The 18,642-nt window shown below is 39.5% G+C and overlaps 1 protein-coding gene across 24 annotated transcripts in view; it reads left to right on the top strand.

Annotated features, from left to right (window-relative positions):
- GRM8 (glutamate metabotropic receptor 8) overlaps nt 1-18,642 on the top strand; it is an 814,344-nt gene that overhangs the window by 628,089 nt on the left and 167,613 nt on the right. For 23 of the 24 annotated variants that reach the window (NR_163849.1, NR_028041.1, NM_001371087.1 and 20 more), the window contains one exon: nt 15,355-15,491. Coding sequence is in view for 21 of the 24 variants with exons in the window: in NM_001371087.1 (NP_001358016.1) it covers nt 15,355-15,491 (137 nt within the window). In the remaining 3 variants the exon portion in view is untranslated. Of the gene's footprint in view, nt 1-15,354; nt 15,496-18,642 lie in introns of all 24 variants that reach the window. The other variant, NR_163850.1, reaches the window with a different exon arrangement.

Genomic DNA, 18,642 nt, shown 5'->3' with positions numbered 1-18,642 from the left:
GTCCAGCATAACATTTTCATTCTAGCCAGCTAGGAAGAGAAAAGACCATAGAAGACCACTTAGGGGGTTTTAATGCCCTCCTATGTAGTGCATATCACGTGTGCTCACAATTGATTGTCTGAACTAATAATTTGGCCATGCCTAAGTGCAAGGAAGACTGGAAAAGGGTAGCCTAGCTATGTGCCCAGGAAAAAGATAATATTTATTTGGATCCTCATCCAATAGTCTGAGCTATATATATGGTGGAGAATGTGATAGAAATATTTTCCACAATCACAGGCATATCATCCAGCGATTTATATCGATCAGTTAAACAAACCAAATATTTTTAGATATTTAAAAGTACTATGAAGGCAATAATGTGTGTAATAGTGAATGACAGGGATAGAAATCAGGCTAAATTAGATATGGTGATCCGACAAGCCTCTCTTGATATTTTGGGTGGGATACGAGTAATGAAAGAAGCCAGTCAGAAGATCAAGTCGGGAAGAACACTGGGAAGAGAAAACAGAAAATCCCTGAGAGAGAGCAACCTTCATGTGCTTGCAAACAGAAAGAAGACCAGGTTGGAAGGAGTACAGAAAATGAGCAAGATCAGATAAATAAGAGACTTAAAGGCCATGATAAGCCTTTGAGTTTTATTCTAAGTGAAATGGGAAGCCATTGAAGGATATCAAGAAGAGGGATATTATTTGATTTGTGTTTCATTGACATTCTGACTGTAGGGTAGAGAGTGGATTGTTGTTGTTCAGTGTGAATGCAGGATACCTGCTAAGAGTTCAGGGAGAGGTTATAGTAGCCAAGACAAGGTTAATGCAAGAGGGGGTAAAAAGAATGGGCAAATTCTAGATACGTTCTGAAGATAGAACCTGTCCATGCATTAGATGTAAGCTTTTTTGAGCAGGGGGTGGGGACAGGTTCTCTCTCTGTCACCCAGGCTGGAGTGCAGTGGTGCTATCACAGCTCACTGCAGCTTCCACCTCCCGGGCTCAAGCCATCCTCCCAACTCAGCCTCTTAAGTGGCTGGAATTACAGGTGTATGCCACCATGCCTGGCCTAGATATGGGCCTTGTTTATTTTTACCTCTGGAGAAGTTTAGATTTTATTTTAGGATCTGGTCTCCAGATCTGGCATCCACTGAGCCATACGTCAGTCTTTGGTTGGTCCACATACATTTAGGGAAGAAATGATTGAAGGGGGGTTCAGTCCAGTTGAAGAGGAGGCCAGATGAGAAAGGCTCAGCAGTGGGCCTTCATCCCCAGTGAATGGAGTGTTGGAGCGAGGGAGCAGTGGCTGCTGAAATTATCTGCCTTTTAGACCTGTGTTGTTTTAATCTGGTCAGCACTAACCATGTGGGTGTTGAGCAGTTGAAACAGGGCTAATCTGAATTGTGATAAGCTGTAGTATAAAGTATACATAAGATTTTGAAGACTTAGGAAATAAGTGCATAAAGTACCTCAATATTTCTATATTGATTATATTTTGATGTGATATTTTTCATATGTTAGTTTACATAAAGTATATTAAAATTAATGTCACCATTAAAAAAATTTAGACTTTTTAAGAAAATAATTTACATTTACAAAAAATCTGAACATAGAGCACAATTTCTATATTACACCCCTCCACACACACATAGCTCCCCCAACCGTTAACATCTTGTATGAATGTGGTACATGTATGAAAGCTAATGGATCAGTATGATACATCATTATTAACTTAGTTTACATTAAGATTTAGTCCTGTGTGTTGCTATAGATGTGGGTATTAAATTAGGTTTTGAATTGATTGAATGGTTGGACAGTAAGCTGCTTACTAAGCGGAGATGACTGTCTGAAGAACATGTTTGGAAATATGTAAGAATCAAGCATTGTGTCTGAGATAATTATCAAACAATAACGTGGAGATACAGATAATTGGAAAAGTCTGCATTCAGGGCTAGACATATAAATTTGAGACTCATCAGTGGAGGAATGAGGTTAAATTTTAACTTAAAATGTGTCAAAGAGTAAAAGAGAAATAAGAAAGTGGAGAAAATGAACACAATTTTACCATGAAGGGAGTGAAAAATGAAGCAGTAGCTGAATGAGTCTGTGGGGATAGAGTAACGGATTTTAGTTGCTTTCTTCTTGAGAGCTATTAGAACTGATTTGTAAATTGATGGGGATACTTCTGCCAAAAGTCTAAATTTGTTTATGTAAAAGAAAGAAAAGATAACTGAACTGAAAGTGCATGGAAGGTGAGAGTGATGGGGCCCCAGCACCAAGGGAGGACATTCCTTTGATTGGACCTGGGATATGTGTTGCATCAGGAGGGATGGGAGAATATGAGTGTGGATACAGGTAGGCGGTAGATTTTGTGGTGGAATGATGAGGAAGTTTTTGTATTGCTGTCTTTTCTCAGTGGAAACGTATGAAGCAAGCCGGAATGACAGGGGAAGGAAGGTGTTGGATATGTGAGGGATGAGAATAAGTCATGAAACAGTCAAATATTACCTAGAAGCGAGGGGGAAATGGGCCAACTGGGAAAGTGTGATAGGATTGCAGAGCAATGCTGATTGTCCATGTGAAATCTGAGGGTATGAATTTAAAGTAAGACCAGACAGCAGGGACAAGGTAAAGGAAGTGAGGCACCTAGCATGCAAAATTCAGGGAGATAGATTCCCTCTCGGAGTCATGCCCTGGGCATCTCATTTGCCTCAGCCTAGTCCTGGTCTTGTCAGACAATAAAATTTTATCATTTTATTAAACAATGTTCAGCTTCTTGGGTGCAGGCAAAGAAGATGTACAATTGAATTTAATTGTACAATGACTGTGATTTTGATAGAGCAATTCACTGGACAGAGAGAAGCGCAAGAGAATAGAGGGTATTCCCTAGAAAGATCATAGAACATGTCTAGGAATAGGAGAGAAGAGTCACTATCATGGGAGCGAAGCAGTGTGACAAAACAGGGTGATTAATGAATTGGGAAGTGTAGGAAATCATAGAATTGTTGCAGTGAGGATGGAAGGTGGTGTCCAAAGAGGAAACTTTTGGAGATGATATGGTTACTAGACAAGACAATTTCCAGAGAGTGACTATGATAGTATGTGTCAAGATGCGTGAATGATTTTTTTTTTTTAAATGGTGATTGGGGCCAGGCATGATGTCTCACACCTGTAATCCCAGCACTTTGGGAGGCAGAGGTGGGTGGATCACCTGAGGTCAGGAGTTAAAGACCAGCCTTGCCAACATGGTGAAACCCTGTCTCTACTAAAACTACAAAAATTGGCCAGGCATGGTGGCACATGCCTGTAATCCCAGCTACTCAGGAAGCTTAGACAGGAGAATCACTTGAACCTGGGAGGCGGAGGTTGCAGTGAGCCGAGATGGAGCCACTTCACTCCAGCCTGGAGGACAGAGACAAGACTTCATCTCAAATCAAACAAACAGACAAACAAACAAACAAAAAAGGTAATTGGAAATAAGTAAGTCTAACTCTGCAGCCAGGATGTTGAGTGTTGAGTAAATTATACTACCACCAAAGAGATAACAGAAATGTGGTTGGAGGAGAATACAGTAAGTCACATGCTAAAGGCTTCAGAGAACTGGGGTGAGTAATTGATACATGTAAGAGTAATCAAGTTCCTAAATAATAAAACTATATGATTTTAATTCAAATATGTGAATCTATTTAAGTGTAATAAATACTTAGTAAAGTAAATTGGATAAGGAAAGAGAGCATGAATAATTGAGACACTGTTGAAAATTGCTACTTCCTATGGCATTTTGGTCAATGACAAATCTCACATATTTATTCTTTATTTAAGGGTGCTAAAAATTACTAAATTAACCCATTTCATTTCTAGCTTTCTTATTTTTTTCCTGCTTTTCCAATAGTTTAGGCAGTGATGATCAGGAAAATAAGGTTTTGGTAGCATGAGGGGAGCAGGGAAGAATAAACTTGACAAAAAACTGAGAGGATTGCACTAACAAAGAGATGTATAATTTTTGCACATAAAGGTGAATGCATTATTTTTACATTGTGTTTTGCATGGTGTAAACAAGAAAATGTATACTAAGGGGGCATAAGTGCAGCCAAAGGAATGGAAGATGATGAGTGTTTGCGTTCATTGCACATCTATTGTGTACCAGTCATATACACTGTCATCTCATGCAACAGTTTAGGAAGGTTGGGGTTATTATGCCTGCTTGGCAGATGAGAAAACAGGCTTAAGGAGGGTAACTTACTCAGATCACACGGATAATTGGTAGAGCCAGAAAGCAGACTCTAGTCCCTGCATCCCAAGCCCATATTCTTCCCCTGCGCAATATTCAAAAGAGCCAACATTTGAAAAAAAAAACCTTCATTGAATATATCATTTTCCCTACAAAACCATGTTGGAGTGCTTGAGATGCCTACGAATAAAAATATACTTTTTCACACATTTCTTATTGAACAGAAAATATTCAAGGAGATGTGTGACATCTAAGGGTAGCACCTGATGAGTAAACATTACCTCACAACTCCATGTTGTTTGTTTCCATTTCTGCACTAGCACATGTGGATGGAAAAGTTTGTTTTAAGACAGCATCTTGCTCTGTCACCTGGAGTTGGAGTGCAGTAGCGCAATTCTAGTTCACTGTAACCTCAAGCTCCTGGTCTCAAGCGATGTTTCTACCCCAGCCTCCTGAGTAATGAGGAGTACAGGTGCATGCCACCATGCCTGGCTAATTTATCTTTTGGTAGAGATGGGGGTCTCACTGTGTTGCCCAGGCTGGTCTTGAACTCCTGGCCTGAAGAGATCCTCCTACCTCAGATTCCCAAAGTATGAGCCACTGCACCCAGTGTGAAAACCATTTTAAAAAATTAATCCACTTTTGGCTGGGCACATTTATTCATGCCTGTAATTCTGGCATTTTGGGAGGCCAAGGAGGGAGGATTGCTTGACCCCAGGAGTTCAAGACCAGCCTGGGCAGCATGCAAAACCCTATGTCTACCAAAAATTACAAAAATTAGCTGGGCATGGTGGCACAGGCCTGTGATCCCAGCTACTCAGGAGGCCAAGGTTGGAGGATCCCTCGATCCTAGGAGGCAGATGTTGCAGTGAGCCAAGATGACACCACCGAGTTCCAGCCTGAGTGACAGAGGGAGACCCTTTCCACCACCCTCCTCAAAAACAAAATTAATACACATCAAAATTTATGAAATACCTAACGTATAGGATGGAGAGAAATAAAACAGGAAAATGTGAGCATAATTTATCATGTAAAATATGTGTGAATATTGCTTAATCAAATATATTTGTTATATTTCTTTTTTTAATGTAAATAGCATTTCTTTTTTTTCCTTTTTTCTTATTATACTTTAAGTTCTAGGGTACATGTGCACAACGTGCAGGTTTGTTACATGTGTATACATGTGCCATGTTGGTGTGCTGTACCCATTAACTTGTCGGTATATCTCTTAATGCTTTCCCTCCCCACTTCCCTCACCCCACAACAGGCCCCAGTGTGTGATGTTCCCCTTCCTGTGTCCATGTGTTCTCACTGTTCAATTCCCACCTGTGAGTGAGAACATGCGGTGTTTGGTTTTTTGTTCTTGGGGTAGTTTGCTGAGAACGATGATTTCCAGCTTCATCCATGTCCCTACAAAGGACATGAACTCATCATTTTTTATGACTGCATAGTACTCCGTGGTGTATATGTGCCACATTTTCTTAATCCAGTCTATCACTGATGGACATTTGGGTTAGTTCCAAGTCTTTGCTACTGTGAATAGTGCCGCAATAAACATACGTGTGCAAGTGCCTTTATAGCAGCATAATTTATAATCCTTTGGGTATATACCCAGTAATGGGATGGCTGGGTCAAATGGTGTTTCTAGTTCTAGATCCTTGAGGAATCACCACACTGTCTTCCACAATGGTTGAACTAGTTTACAGTCCCAACAACAGTGTAAAAGTGTTCCTGTTTCTCCACATCCTCTCCATCACCTGTTGTTTCCTGACTTTTTAATGATCGCCATTCTAACTGGTGTCAGATGGTATCTCATTGTGGTTTTGATTTGCATTTCTCTGATGGCCAGTGATGATGAGCATTTTTTCATGTGTCTGTTGGCTGCATAAATGTCTTCTTTTGAGAAGTGTCTGTTCATATCCTTTGCGCACTTGTTGATGGGGTTGTTTTTTTCTTGTAAATTTGTTTGAGTTCTTTGTAGATTGTGGATATTAGCCCTTTGTCAGATGAGTAGATGGTAAAAATTTTCTCCCCTTCTGTAGGTTGCCTGTTCACTCTGATGGTAGTTTCTTTCGCTGTGTAGAAGCTCCTTAGTTTAATTAGATCCCATTTGTCAATTTTGACTTTTGTTGCCATTGCTTTTGGTGTTTTAGACATGAAGTCCATGCCCATGCCTATGTCGTGAATGGTATTGCCCAGGTTTTCTTCTAGGGTTTTTATGGTTTTAGGTCTAACATTTAAGTCTTTAATCCATCTTGAATTAATTTTTGTATAAGGTGTAAGGAAGGGATCCAGTTTGAGCTTTCTACATATGGCTAGCCAGTTTTCCCAGCACCATTTATTAAATAGGGAATCCTTTCCCCATTTCTTGTTTTTGTCAGGTTTGTCAAAGATCAGATGGTTGTAGATGTGTGGTATTATTTCTGAGGGCTCTGTTCTGTTCCATTGGTCTATATCTCTGTTTTGGTACCAGTACCATGCTGTTTTGGTTACTGTAGCCTTGTAGTATAATTTGAAGTCAGGTAGCGTGATGCCTCCAGCTTTGTTCTTTTGGCTTAGGATTGTCTTGGCAATGAGGGCTCTATTTTTGGTTCCATATTAACCTTAAAGTAGTTTTTTCCAATTCTGTGAAGAAAGTCATTGGTAGCTTGATGGGGATGGCATTGAATCTATAAATTACCTTGGGCAGTATGGCCATTTTCATGATATTTTCTTCCCATCCATGAGGATGGAATGTTCTTCCATTTGTTTGTATCCTCTTTTATTTTGTTGAGCAGTGGTTTGTAGTTCTCCTTGAAGAGTTCCTTCACATCCCTTGTAAGTTGGATTCCTAGGTATTTTATTCTCTTTGAAGCAATTGTAAATGGGAGTTCACTCATGATTTGGCTCTCTGTTTGTCTGTTATTGGTGTATAAGAATGCTTGTGATTTTTGCACATTGATTTTGTATCCTGAGACTTTGCTGAAGTTGCTTATCAGCTTAAGGAGATTTTGGGCTGAGACAGTGGGGTTTTCTAAATATACAATCATGTCATCTGCAAACAGGGACAATTTGACTTCCTCTTTTCCTAATTGAATACCCTTTATTTCTTTCTCCTGCCTGATTGCCCTGGCCAGAACTTCCAACACTATGTTGCATAGGAGTGGTGAGAGAGGGCATCTCTGTCTTGTGCCAGTTTTCAAAGGGAATGCTTCCAGTTTTTGCCCATTCAGTATGATATTGGCTGTGGGTTTGTCATAAATAGCTCTTATTATTTTGAGATACATCCCATCAATACCTAATTTACTGAGAGTTTTTAGCATGAAAGGCAGATGAATTTTGTCAAAGGCCTTTTCTTCATCTATTGAGATAATCATGTGGCTTTTGTCTTTGGTTCTGTTTATATGCTGGATTACGTTTATTGATTTTCGTATGTTGAACCAGCCTTGCATCCCTGGGATGAAGCCAACTTGATCATGGTGGATAAACTTTTTGATGTGCTTCTGGATTTGGTTTGCCAGTATTTTATTGAGAATTTTCACAGCGATGTTCATCAGGGATATTGGTCTAAAATTGTCTTTTTTGGTTGTGTCTCTGCCAGGCTTTGGTATCAGGATAATGCTGGCCTCATAAAATGAGTTAGGGAGGATTCCCTCTTTTTCTATTGATTGGAATATTTTCAGAAGGAATGGTACCAGCTCCTCATTGTACCTCTGGTAGAATTTGGCTCTGAATCCGTCTGGTCCTGGACTTTTTTTGGTTGGTAGGCTATTAATTATTGCCTCAATTTCAGAGCCTGTTATTGGTCTGTTCAGGGATTCAAGTTCTTCTTGGTTTAGTCTTGGGAGGGTGTATGTGTCGAGGAATTTTTCCATTTCTTCTAGATTTTCTAGTTTATTTCCGCAGTGGTGTTTATAGTATTCTCTGATGGTAGTTTGTATTTCTGTGGGATTGGTGGTGATATCCCCTTTATCATTTTTTATTGCGTTTATTTGATTCTTCCCTCTTTTCTTCTTTATTAGTCTTGCTAGCGGTCTATCAATTTTGTTGATCTTTTCAAAAACCAGCTCCTGGATTCATTGATTTTTTGAAGAGTTTTTTTGTGTCTCTATCTCCTTCAGTTCTGCTCTGATCTTAGTTATTTCTTGCCTTCTGCTAGCTTTTGAATGTGTTTGCTCTTGCTTCTCTAGTTCTTTTAATTGTGATGTTAGGGTGTCGATTTTAGATCTGTCCTGCTTTCTCTTGTGGGCATTTCGTGCTATAAATTTCCCTCTACACACTGCTTTAAATGTGTCCCAGAGATTCTGTTATGTTGTGTCTTTGTTCTCATTGGTTTCAAAGAACGTCTTTATTTCTGACTTCATTTCGTTATGTACCCAGTAGTCATTCAGGAGCAGGTTGTTCAGTTTCCATGTAGTTGAGCAGTTTTGAGTGAGATTCTTAATCCTGAGTTGTAGTTTGATTGCACTGTGGTCTGAGAGATAGTTTGTTATAATTTCTGTTCTTTTACATTTGCTGAGGAGTGCTTTACTTCCAAGTATGTGGTCAATTTTGGAATAAGTGTGATGTGGTGCTGAGAAGAATGTATATTCTGTTGATTTGGGGTGGAGAGTTCTGTAGATGTCTATTAGGTCTGCTTTGTGCAGAGCTGAGTTCAATTCCTGGATATCCTTGTTAACTTTCTGTCTCGTTGATCTGTCTAATGTTGACAGTGGGGTGTTAAAGTCTCCCATTATTATTGTGTGGGAGTCTAAGTCTCTTTGTAGGTCTCTAAGTACTTGCTTTATGAATCTGGGTGCTCCTGTATTGGGTGCATATATATTTAAGATAGTTAGCTCTTCTTGTTGAATTGATCCCTTTACCATTATGTAATGGCCTTCTTTGTCTCTTTTGATCTTTGTTGGTTTAAAGTCTGTTTCATCAGAGACTAGGATTGCAACCCCCGCCTTTTTTTGTTTTCCATTTGCTTGGTAGATCTTCCTCCATCCCTTTATTTTGAGCCTATGTGTGTCTCTGCACGTGAGATGGGTCTCCTGAATACAGCACTCTGATCAGTCTTGACTCTTTATCCAATTTGCCAGTCTGTGTCTTTTAATTGGAGCATTTAGCCCATTTATATTTAAGGTTAATATTGTTATATGTGAATTTGATCCTGTCATTATGATGTTAGCTGGTTATTTTGCTTAATAGTTGATGCTGTTTCTTCCTAGCCTTGATGGTCTTTACAATTTGGCATGTTTTTGCAGTGGCTGGTACTGGTTGTTCCTTTCCATGTTTAGTGCTTCCTTCAGGAGCTCTTGTAGGGCAGGCCTGGTGGTGACAAAATCTCTCAGCATTTGCTTGTCTCTAAAGGATTTTATTTCTCCTTCACTTATGAAGCTTAGTTTGGCTGGATATGAAATTCTGGGTTGAAAATTCTTTTCTTTAAGAATGTTGAATATTGGCCCCCACTCTCTTCTGGCTTGTAGAGTTTCTGCCGAGAGATCTGCTATTAGTCTAATTGGTTTCCCTTTGTGGGTAACCCTACATTTCTCTCTGGCTGCCCTTAACATTTTTTCCCTCATTTCAACTTTGGTGAATCTGACAATTATGTGTCTTGGAGTTGCTCTTCTCGAGGAGTATCTTTGTGGTGTTCTCTGTATTTCCTGAATTTGAATGTTGTCCTGCCTTGCTAGGTTGGGGAAGTTCTCCTGGATAATATCCTGCAGAGTGTTTTCCAACTTGGTTCCATTCTCCCTGTCACTTTCAGGTACACCAATCAGACGTAGATTTGGTCTTTTCACATAGTCCCGTATTTCTTAGAGGCTTTGTTCTTTCCTTTTTACTCTTTTTTCTCTAAACTTCTGTTCTCGCTTCATTGCATTCATTTGATCTTCAATCACTGATACCCTTTCTTCCAGTTGATCAAATCAGCTACTGAAGCTTGTGCATTCATCACGTATTTCTCGTGCCATAGTTTTCAGCTCCATCAGGTCATTTAAGGACTTCTCTACACTGGTTATTCTAGTTAGCCATTTGTCTAATCTTTTTTCAAGGTTTTTAACTTCTTTGCATTGGGTTCGAACTTCCTCCTTTAGCTCAGAGAAGTTTGATCATCTGAAGCCTTCTCTCAGCTTGTCAAAGTCATTCTCCATCCAGCTTTGTTCCATTGCTGGTGAGGAGCTGCGTTCCTTTGGAGGGGGAGAGGTGCTCTGATTTTTAGAATTTTCAGCTTTTCAGCTCTGTTTTTTCCCCATCTTTGTGGTTTTTATCTGCCTTTGGTCTTTGATGATGGTGATGTACAGATGTGGTTTTGGTGTGGATGTCCTTTCTGTCTGTTAGTTTCCTTCTAACAGTCAGGACCCTCAGCTGCAGGTCTGTTGGAGTTTGCTGGAGGTCCACTCCAGACCCTGTTTGCTTGGGTATCAGCAGTGGAGGCTGCAGAGTAGTGAATATTGCTGAACAGCAAACGATGCTGCCTGACCGTTCCTCTGGAAGTTTCGTCTCAGAAGGGTACCCGGCCGTGTGAGGTGTTAGTCTGCCCCTACTGGGAGGTGCCTCCCAGTTAGGCTACTTGGAGGTCAGGGACCTACTTGAGAAGGCAGTCTGTCCGTTCTCAGATCTCAAACTCCGTGCTGGGAGAACCACTACTCTCTTCAAAGCTGTCAGACAGGGACATTTAAGTCTGCAGAGGTCTGCTGCCTTTTGTTTGGCTATGCCCTGCCCCCAGAGGTGGAGTCTACAGAGGCAGGCAGACCTCCTTGAGCTGCAGTAGGTTCCACCCAGTTTGAGGGAATCCGGGCTGCTTTGTTTACCTACTCAAGCCTCAGCAATGGCGTGTGCCCCTCCCCCAGCCTCGCTGCTGCCTTGCAGTTGGATCTCAGTCTGCTGTGCTAGCAATGAGTGAGGCTCCGTGGGCATGGGACCCTCTGAGCCAGGTGTGGGATATAATCTCCTGGTGTGCCGTTTGCTAAGACCGTTGGAAAAGCGCAGTATTAAGGTGGGAGTGACCTGATTTTCCAGGTGCCGTCTGTCACCCATTCCCTTGGCTAGGAAAGGGAATTCCCTGACCCCTTGCACTTTCCGGGTGAGGCGATGCCTCGCCCTGCTTTGGCTCACACTCGGTGGGCTGCACCCACTGTCCTGTCCACACTGTCCGACAAGCCCCAGTGAGATGAACCTGGTACCTCAGTTGGAAATGCAGAAATCACCCGTCTTCTGCGTCGCTCACACTGGGAGCTGTAGACTGGAGCTGTTCTTATTTGGCCATCTTGGAACCCCACTCTGTCAAAGTTATATTTCTTACCTGTGTTGTTATTAAACCTTGATAAATTAATGACTATATTAACAGACATTTGTCATTTGAAATTTTTTTGTGGACAAAAAAAAAATTCGCCACTTAATTCTGTTTCTCAGAGTGGCCAGTTTCAGTACAAACAATGACATTTTTAAAAGATGGCAAACTTGTAGGAATTATTAAACAGCTAATGAGTTAGTTCCTTATGGCTACTCAACGATGCTCTTTCTACATTGACCAGAGTTCCATGGCAGTCATTTGAAATGAGTCAATATGTAATGGAATCAGTTCTTCCTGAAAAAGGGTTGAAGTAATTCAACTGCAAGCCTAATTTAAGACTAGAAATCGCATTAGGAAAACAAGATGCAAGGGTCATCAGTAATAAAAACCACTTCAGCTACTGGTGATTAACTCAGAGCCCATTCACAGATATGTCAAAGTTTCCCCGTGGTTTCTAATGTCACATTAATAACAAAGTGAGAGGATTTATTTGGTCTCTCCGTTTGTGAATATAAAAGATGACAGAAAATATACATGAAGTTCATAATGTCATGAAGAGGGAAGCATGGATTTGCTTGGGATCATTAGGGGATGCCTCTTTCATGCTTTCCTATAATTTATTGATTACTTGCTCAGTACTGAACACTGTCTTTGCTGCAGTGCTTACAAAGATAATAGATACTTTTGCCTTTCTTAAGAAGACCATAGTTTTGTGAAGATTGCAGAGGGTCCACCCAGTGTTGAGCACATAATAGGCTCTAAAAAAGTATCTGTGCAATAAATGTTTGGTCAGGTACAGAATGGATAGTAAGTCTGTGGAATGTTGCGAGTGCTTCGATATTGCATGTTAGGACATAAAGAGGTGGTTGGGCACCTTCCCCAGGGTTGGAGTAAGATTAAGCTTCTGTAAGTGCATGACCCTTGAGCCTCATCTTGAAGGAATTATATAGAGAGGGGTAAGGAGGAAAGAGAATGGGAAATTAGAGAAAATAGCCTGAGCAAAGACAGAATGGTGAGACAGAGCATAATGAATTTAGGGACCGGAATTTTAGGTATAGGTGGCATTGTGTTGAAAGAGATCAGAGATTAGTGAGAGTGACATCAGGAAAACTTATACGCTCACTGAGTTTATATGTTCTCATATAGACAGTGGCTCTCAAACACAACATTTCCACAAAACAACAAAAGAAATTATAGTTAATACGTAATATGATGTACTAAATGTTTTATATATATTGATTCATTTAATCCTTATATATCCCTCTGAGGTGGGAATTGCTATTAGCCCACTATATAACTGAGAAATGTGAGATATAGGGAAATTAAGAAATGCATTCAAGACACCACATCAATAAGTGACAGAGGGGCGTTTGAACCCAATGATCTGTCTCCAGAACCCACACTTATAACTGCTTTAGAATATTGCACCTTAATACAATGTCAAATTTAGTGTAACTTGATTTTAATAATGATATTCAAAGTATCTAAGTTGGAAATTATTATATTTTGTGACAATGTGGCTCTCTAATGAGCTCTCTTGAGAGGCTTTCTTGACTTGGATATAGAAACAGCTAACACATTAGGAATTATGTATAACTTAGGGTATATTCATGGTAATGTGTTATACAAATTACATTATTTCATCTTAGGTACTGTTATTGTAAAAAAGATTGGGAACTGCTGTTGTAGAAGATAAGGAGTCATTGAGTCAAGGAGTTGACAACTTGGGAGATTTTAAGTAGAGAAAATTAAGTATCCCTTTATTGAGGAGAGAATATGTAATTAAAATATTTCAAAGTGATATATAAATGTCAGAAGTTGATCATGTTAATGTGAAATTCTCAACATACGTGTTTTTCCAGCCAGAAATATCTTCCTCATTTGAATTTCAATAATCTTTTGTCTAGCCATCACTTAGAGAACTTTCAACATCCTTTCTATTACTATGTGTTGGTGTGTACTGAAAGTAAATGTGCAGTGAATAATTTATCCCCATGCACTGTTCTAAGCACTTGACAAGTGTTGATTATTTAATTCTCACAACAACTCTATGAGAAAAGTATCATTATTACTCCCATTTTACAGGTGAAGAAACTGAGGATTTAAGAGGTTAACCTGCTCGAGGTCACTAGGAGCTGAGAAAGGTTTTGGTCAGGTTTGGCAAATAGGTTCTACTTCCATATATAAGGAGTAGCTAAGATAGTACTGCTTGATTGGAGAGCTCTTATTTTATTCCCTGAGTAATGTACATCTATCAATTTATATATAAAGTCATTTCTCATGTGAATTAATAATAATAGTAATAATAATGTACATATTTACAGCTCTTTTAGGACTTCAAAATTTATTCATATTTATTGTTAAGTCTGTGTGGTAAGTGAAGGAAAAGGGACATACACAAGTTGTGGAAATCAATGGGGAATGGAGTGAGCCTGGACATGGAACTTCCAGTTCCGGGAGCAGAGCTCTTTCTTCCATGCGGTGCCATCTCTTGCAGCCTCAGCAGTTCCTGATGATACCAGATGTCTGTAGTCTCATCAGAGAACTTACACCATGTTTAGATTTTTAGGAAGAATCAAGAAAACAGAATATTAGACATCTGTCCATTAATTACTGGAAAAGTATTCACATTGTTGTTATGTGACTCTGATTACATTTATTTACAGGTTACTGTGTTTTTTTGATAAAGTCATCGATTTGTTTGATAAGTTAAATATTTTACAATTTTGTGATGGCTGGTAATTAGGTAAACAACTCTACAGATAGAATAAGAAGCTCATTATAAGATGGGAATATGTACAGTTGACGTATATAACTATTAGTTATGTATACTTTTGGAGAATACAGTATGAGACAGAGATAACAAGAAGGGGAAACCCTCTAGCACAGTTTAGAAATTAAATCCAATATCCTGTGAGAAGAGAGTCAGATAAAAGGCCTGCAGAGGGAAGACAGACACCAAGAAAAGGGATTGGTGTCAGGTGAATTTTTCAAGACAGGAAAGAATAATAATAATAAAAAAATGTAGAGAAGCCTAAAAGCTGTTAGAGAAAAGGAAAGTCTGTATAGATAGTGAAGCTAGATGGAACAAGAAGACATTGGGGTGGTGATCCATTTCTACTCTTCCCCTGTAATTACATAAAAGTTAATAAGAGGGAAAATAAAAGTGAGCAGAAACTATTAAGAGAAAAGATGAAAACTTCCGAGAGGAATGGAGTTTAGAAAAGACTACAGTTCTTGCACCCTGCTGCTCTGCCACTGTTAGACCTGTCACTGTGAAGGGGGAGAACAATCATGATCTGGGCAGAGTTGGGACTTCCCATAGATCAATGCCTCACCCATTGAGAGGTTCCCAACAGTAGACCACATTGATATACTCTTGGGCAGAGGTAGCAGAGGCACAGGAACGGTGCTCTCTAACTGCTTTAGAGAGTTTGGAAAAAGCAAAACTCAGGATTCTGGCCAGAAAGTTCTCCTGCCATATTTTGAATTGCTGTTTGTAGTTCGTATTGTACAATAGCTGTCATGCTTCAAAACATTTACATTTTTCTCTATTAACTATCATACTATGTAGCCAGTATTGAATATTCAGCCTATCAACTTTTATTTATTTAGCTGTTATGTGCATTGCTTAACTTGGATACTCATCATTTACTTTCTAATATGTACAATAAAGCACGTCTTACTCGTGTGTGTATGTCTGGGCTTCTTTTTCATGTAAAAGATATTATGCTATCAAGAATGACCTTGTATGGATTGCAATCTTTGCATCACTTACTTCACACAATATATTTTTATCTACCATTCCTTCTAAAAGAAAAATAAACCCAGTGGGCTATCTTACTAAAACTTTATTAACATTGTTTTCTAAATCTTTATAGGCAGTGCTGGCACTCCTGTCACTTTTAATGAAAACGGAGATGCTCCTGGACGTTATGATATCTTCCAGTATCAAATAACCAACAAAAGCACAGAGTACAAAGTCATCGGCCACTGGACCAATCAGCTTCATCTAAAAGCAAGTATCGTCATAAACATATATTAATGTATATAGCTCTCCAGGAGGGATGCTTTATTTTTAAGTGTATAACTTTTGCTAGAATAGGTTTTCCCCATAAATAAACTCTTAGAAAATGTATGACTTGATTCTCTCTTCAATTTAAAAATGTTATGGACATTCTTCAGCCTCTTTAGAGAAATCTCCTGATATCTGTAAGAATTTAATGAATGATCTGATTTTTTTCCTGCAGTTGACTATACCCTTAGATAAATTTTGCCCTTTTATGAAAGAGTCATTTGTTGTAATCTTTGTACATTTTTTGTATGTCTGTGTGTTGGAGGTGGTGTGGAATCGACTGAATATGCCCTCATTTATAAATTTGGGCTTAAAAAAAGGTCACATCTGGCTAACAAGGTGAAACCCCATCTCTACTAAAAATACAAAAAAAATTAGCCAGGGGTGGTGGTGGGTGCTTGTAGTCCCAGCTATTTGGGAGGCTGAGGCAGGAGAATGGCGTGAACCCGGGAGGCGGAGCTTGCAGTGAGCCGAGGTCGCGCCACTGCACTCTAGCCTGGGCGTCAGAGCGAGACTCCGTCTCAAGAAAAAAAAAAAAAAAAAAAGGGCACATCACTTTTGCCACATCACAAGGGGAGACCTTCTGGCTATATCTGGTTGATAGAAGTGAATCATACTCTGTGTTTATATTGCCTCTTTCAGTTGCAACACCAGGGAAGGTTGATGTATCTAAGGGTGATGTTCAGATTACTTAACAGCCTTTAGAGCTACCTGCTATTTTTGTCTACCGCAGGCACTCTTCAGGTCCAGTGTCCATTAATTCTGCAGTTTCCACAAGTGGCCATGTGAGGGCGACTTGAAGAGCCCAGCCGGAAGCAAGTTCCCAAGGCCTGGGATTGGTGCCCAAAAGCACCTGGGCATTTGCCTGCCAGGTGCCGCACCATCACCCAGAGTTCTGTTTCTTTCGGCTGGAGTCTGATGGGTACCCAGTGGGGTTAGCACGTGGGGATGGCAGTACGGAGGAGGAACTTCATCAGGTGTCTCAGGCTGGTGGGCACTCCCTCAGAGGAGCTCTCTTAGGGCAGAGGTCTTTGGGGGATTTGGGGAGAGCTGCTAGGTACCATCACTCTTCAGTCCTAAGGGGCTCTGGAACAGGAAACCAATTCTGAACTTGATGGATAAGGGAGGCCCAGGAAATCAGTGCACAGGGCTGTGGATGCTGGGGTGGGGAGGGCAAGGAGGGCAGCATCTACTTACCACCAGGTGAAGAATTATTTCACATTTTAACAGCCCTTTGCCCCATATTAGTGCACACTGGCTTTTTTAAGTATAGAGAAGTATGGAGCACGTTCTGTAGTCTCAGTCGAGGTTTAGAGTTCATTCATCCAGCATCTCTTCCACAGAAAAGTAGGACTTTTCACAGAAATTTGGTGGCCAGGAAATAACTACAAGAACAGTAGACATGGACACAGGAAGGGGAACATCACAGTCTGGGGACTGTTGTGGGGTGGGGGGAGGGGGGAGGGATAGCATTGGGTGATATACCTAATGCTAGATGACGAGTTAGTGGGTGCAGCGCACTAGCATGGCACGTGTATACATATGTAACTAACCTTCACATTGTGCACATGTACCCTAAAACTTAAAGTATAATAATAATAATAAAAATACATAAAAAAAGAACGGTAGACAGTAGGATGTTTTTAAAATGCTTCAAATAAACTAGGAAAATATTCTTCTTCTGTTCTGTTGTTTTAATGTGTAATTCACTCTTTCCTCTAGCAAAAAACATCTCCTCTTCTTGATTCTCAGAGCTACCATAATACTGTGAGAGTGTATACATGCTTTCTCATGTTTGAACCTAATCAGAAGACATCAATTTGATATTTTTAATCAATTTTTTTTTGTTTTGTATTTCCAAATATGTCCCCCAAAGTGATATGTCTATGCAGCACCAGTCACCCAAGTTCTCAGAAAATTAGACGATGAGAAATTACAAAACTAGGGAGATTATGATTTATTTTCTTCCTCATAATTATTGCAGCTATGCATTTAATAATGCACAGACAGCTTATGTTTCTAACTATTGTAGTGATACGTAAGGCCACATATCAATACTTTACTACTTCTAGGTGCTTCATGAAATCTTATCCATTGTTCTGCAATCCATATTGACATTTATTGAAACACAACTTTGATAATGCCACAGGTTATTGATAATCAATAGCTTTTTGACAGAAGCCCTTTTGAAAGAGGACCTATAGGAAATGAAATAAGACAGAAATGTTTTGACAAGGTCTAAGATAGGAAAGCTTTTTATCTGACTTTTATTAATGTCGGACTGCCTATCATTAATATATTCTGATGATTAGGGATTTACACAGCAAAATCCAGTGTTTGAGAAATATATACACTAACATACAACACCATTACATAACATAATTTTACACACAAGTACACATATATACACATCTCGCCATATACGCATAATGTAGTTATAAACTTCCTATTGAATCTCAAGCTGCTCTTTTATGTACATTTAACAGTGCATGAAAGTTTTATGTTTATGACTGTATTATCGTTCATAAAATGTATCAAAACAATTTGTGAGAATTATTTCTCATGCATGATTATGATCATTTATAACTAGATAGCGTTGCGGGTTTTACCGAAATGGAAAATGCATCTCTTAGAAGAAAAAACAATAAATTGCACTGTGGAGAGAGGTTATAAATTAAGAATTGAATTCTGAGGATTATCAGGACAAATCAAATGACTTTTATCCTTAGGAGTTGGATTAGTCACCTGCTTGAAGGTGGAGTAGTAGAGTGCTTGGCAAGCTACCAACTTGTTAATGTTTTGCTTAGATCTATGGCAAAGCACTAAACAAATTATTTGCCTCAGTTTTATCATGTCTAAAATGAAAACAGTAGCACCCACCTTATATGGTTGTAATAAGCATTAAATGAAGTAATACAACAAAGCCCTTTGCCCAGTGTTTGGTACACCTGAGATCTATAAATGTTACTTATGATTAATTCAGTATCTCAATATTCTATGTGGTCAGTGAGACACCTGATAGATAATGAGTCTACTGGGCAAAGCGAAGGTCCCATTAGAAGAGGGACTTGAGTTTGTGTGAGAAAGTTCAGAG

The sequence above is a fragment of the Homo sapiens genome, chromosome 7 (genome assembly GCF_000001405.40).
Source record: "Homo sapiens chromosome 7, GRCh38.p14 Primary Assembly".
Lineage (NCBI taxonomy): Eukaryota > Metazoa > Chordata > Mammalia > Primates > Hominidae > Homo > Homo sapiens.
Note: the sequence above shows the minus strand (reverse complement) of the source record. Positions and strands in the feature narration are given on the sequence as shown.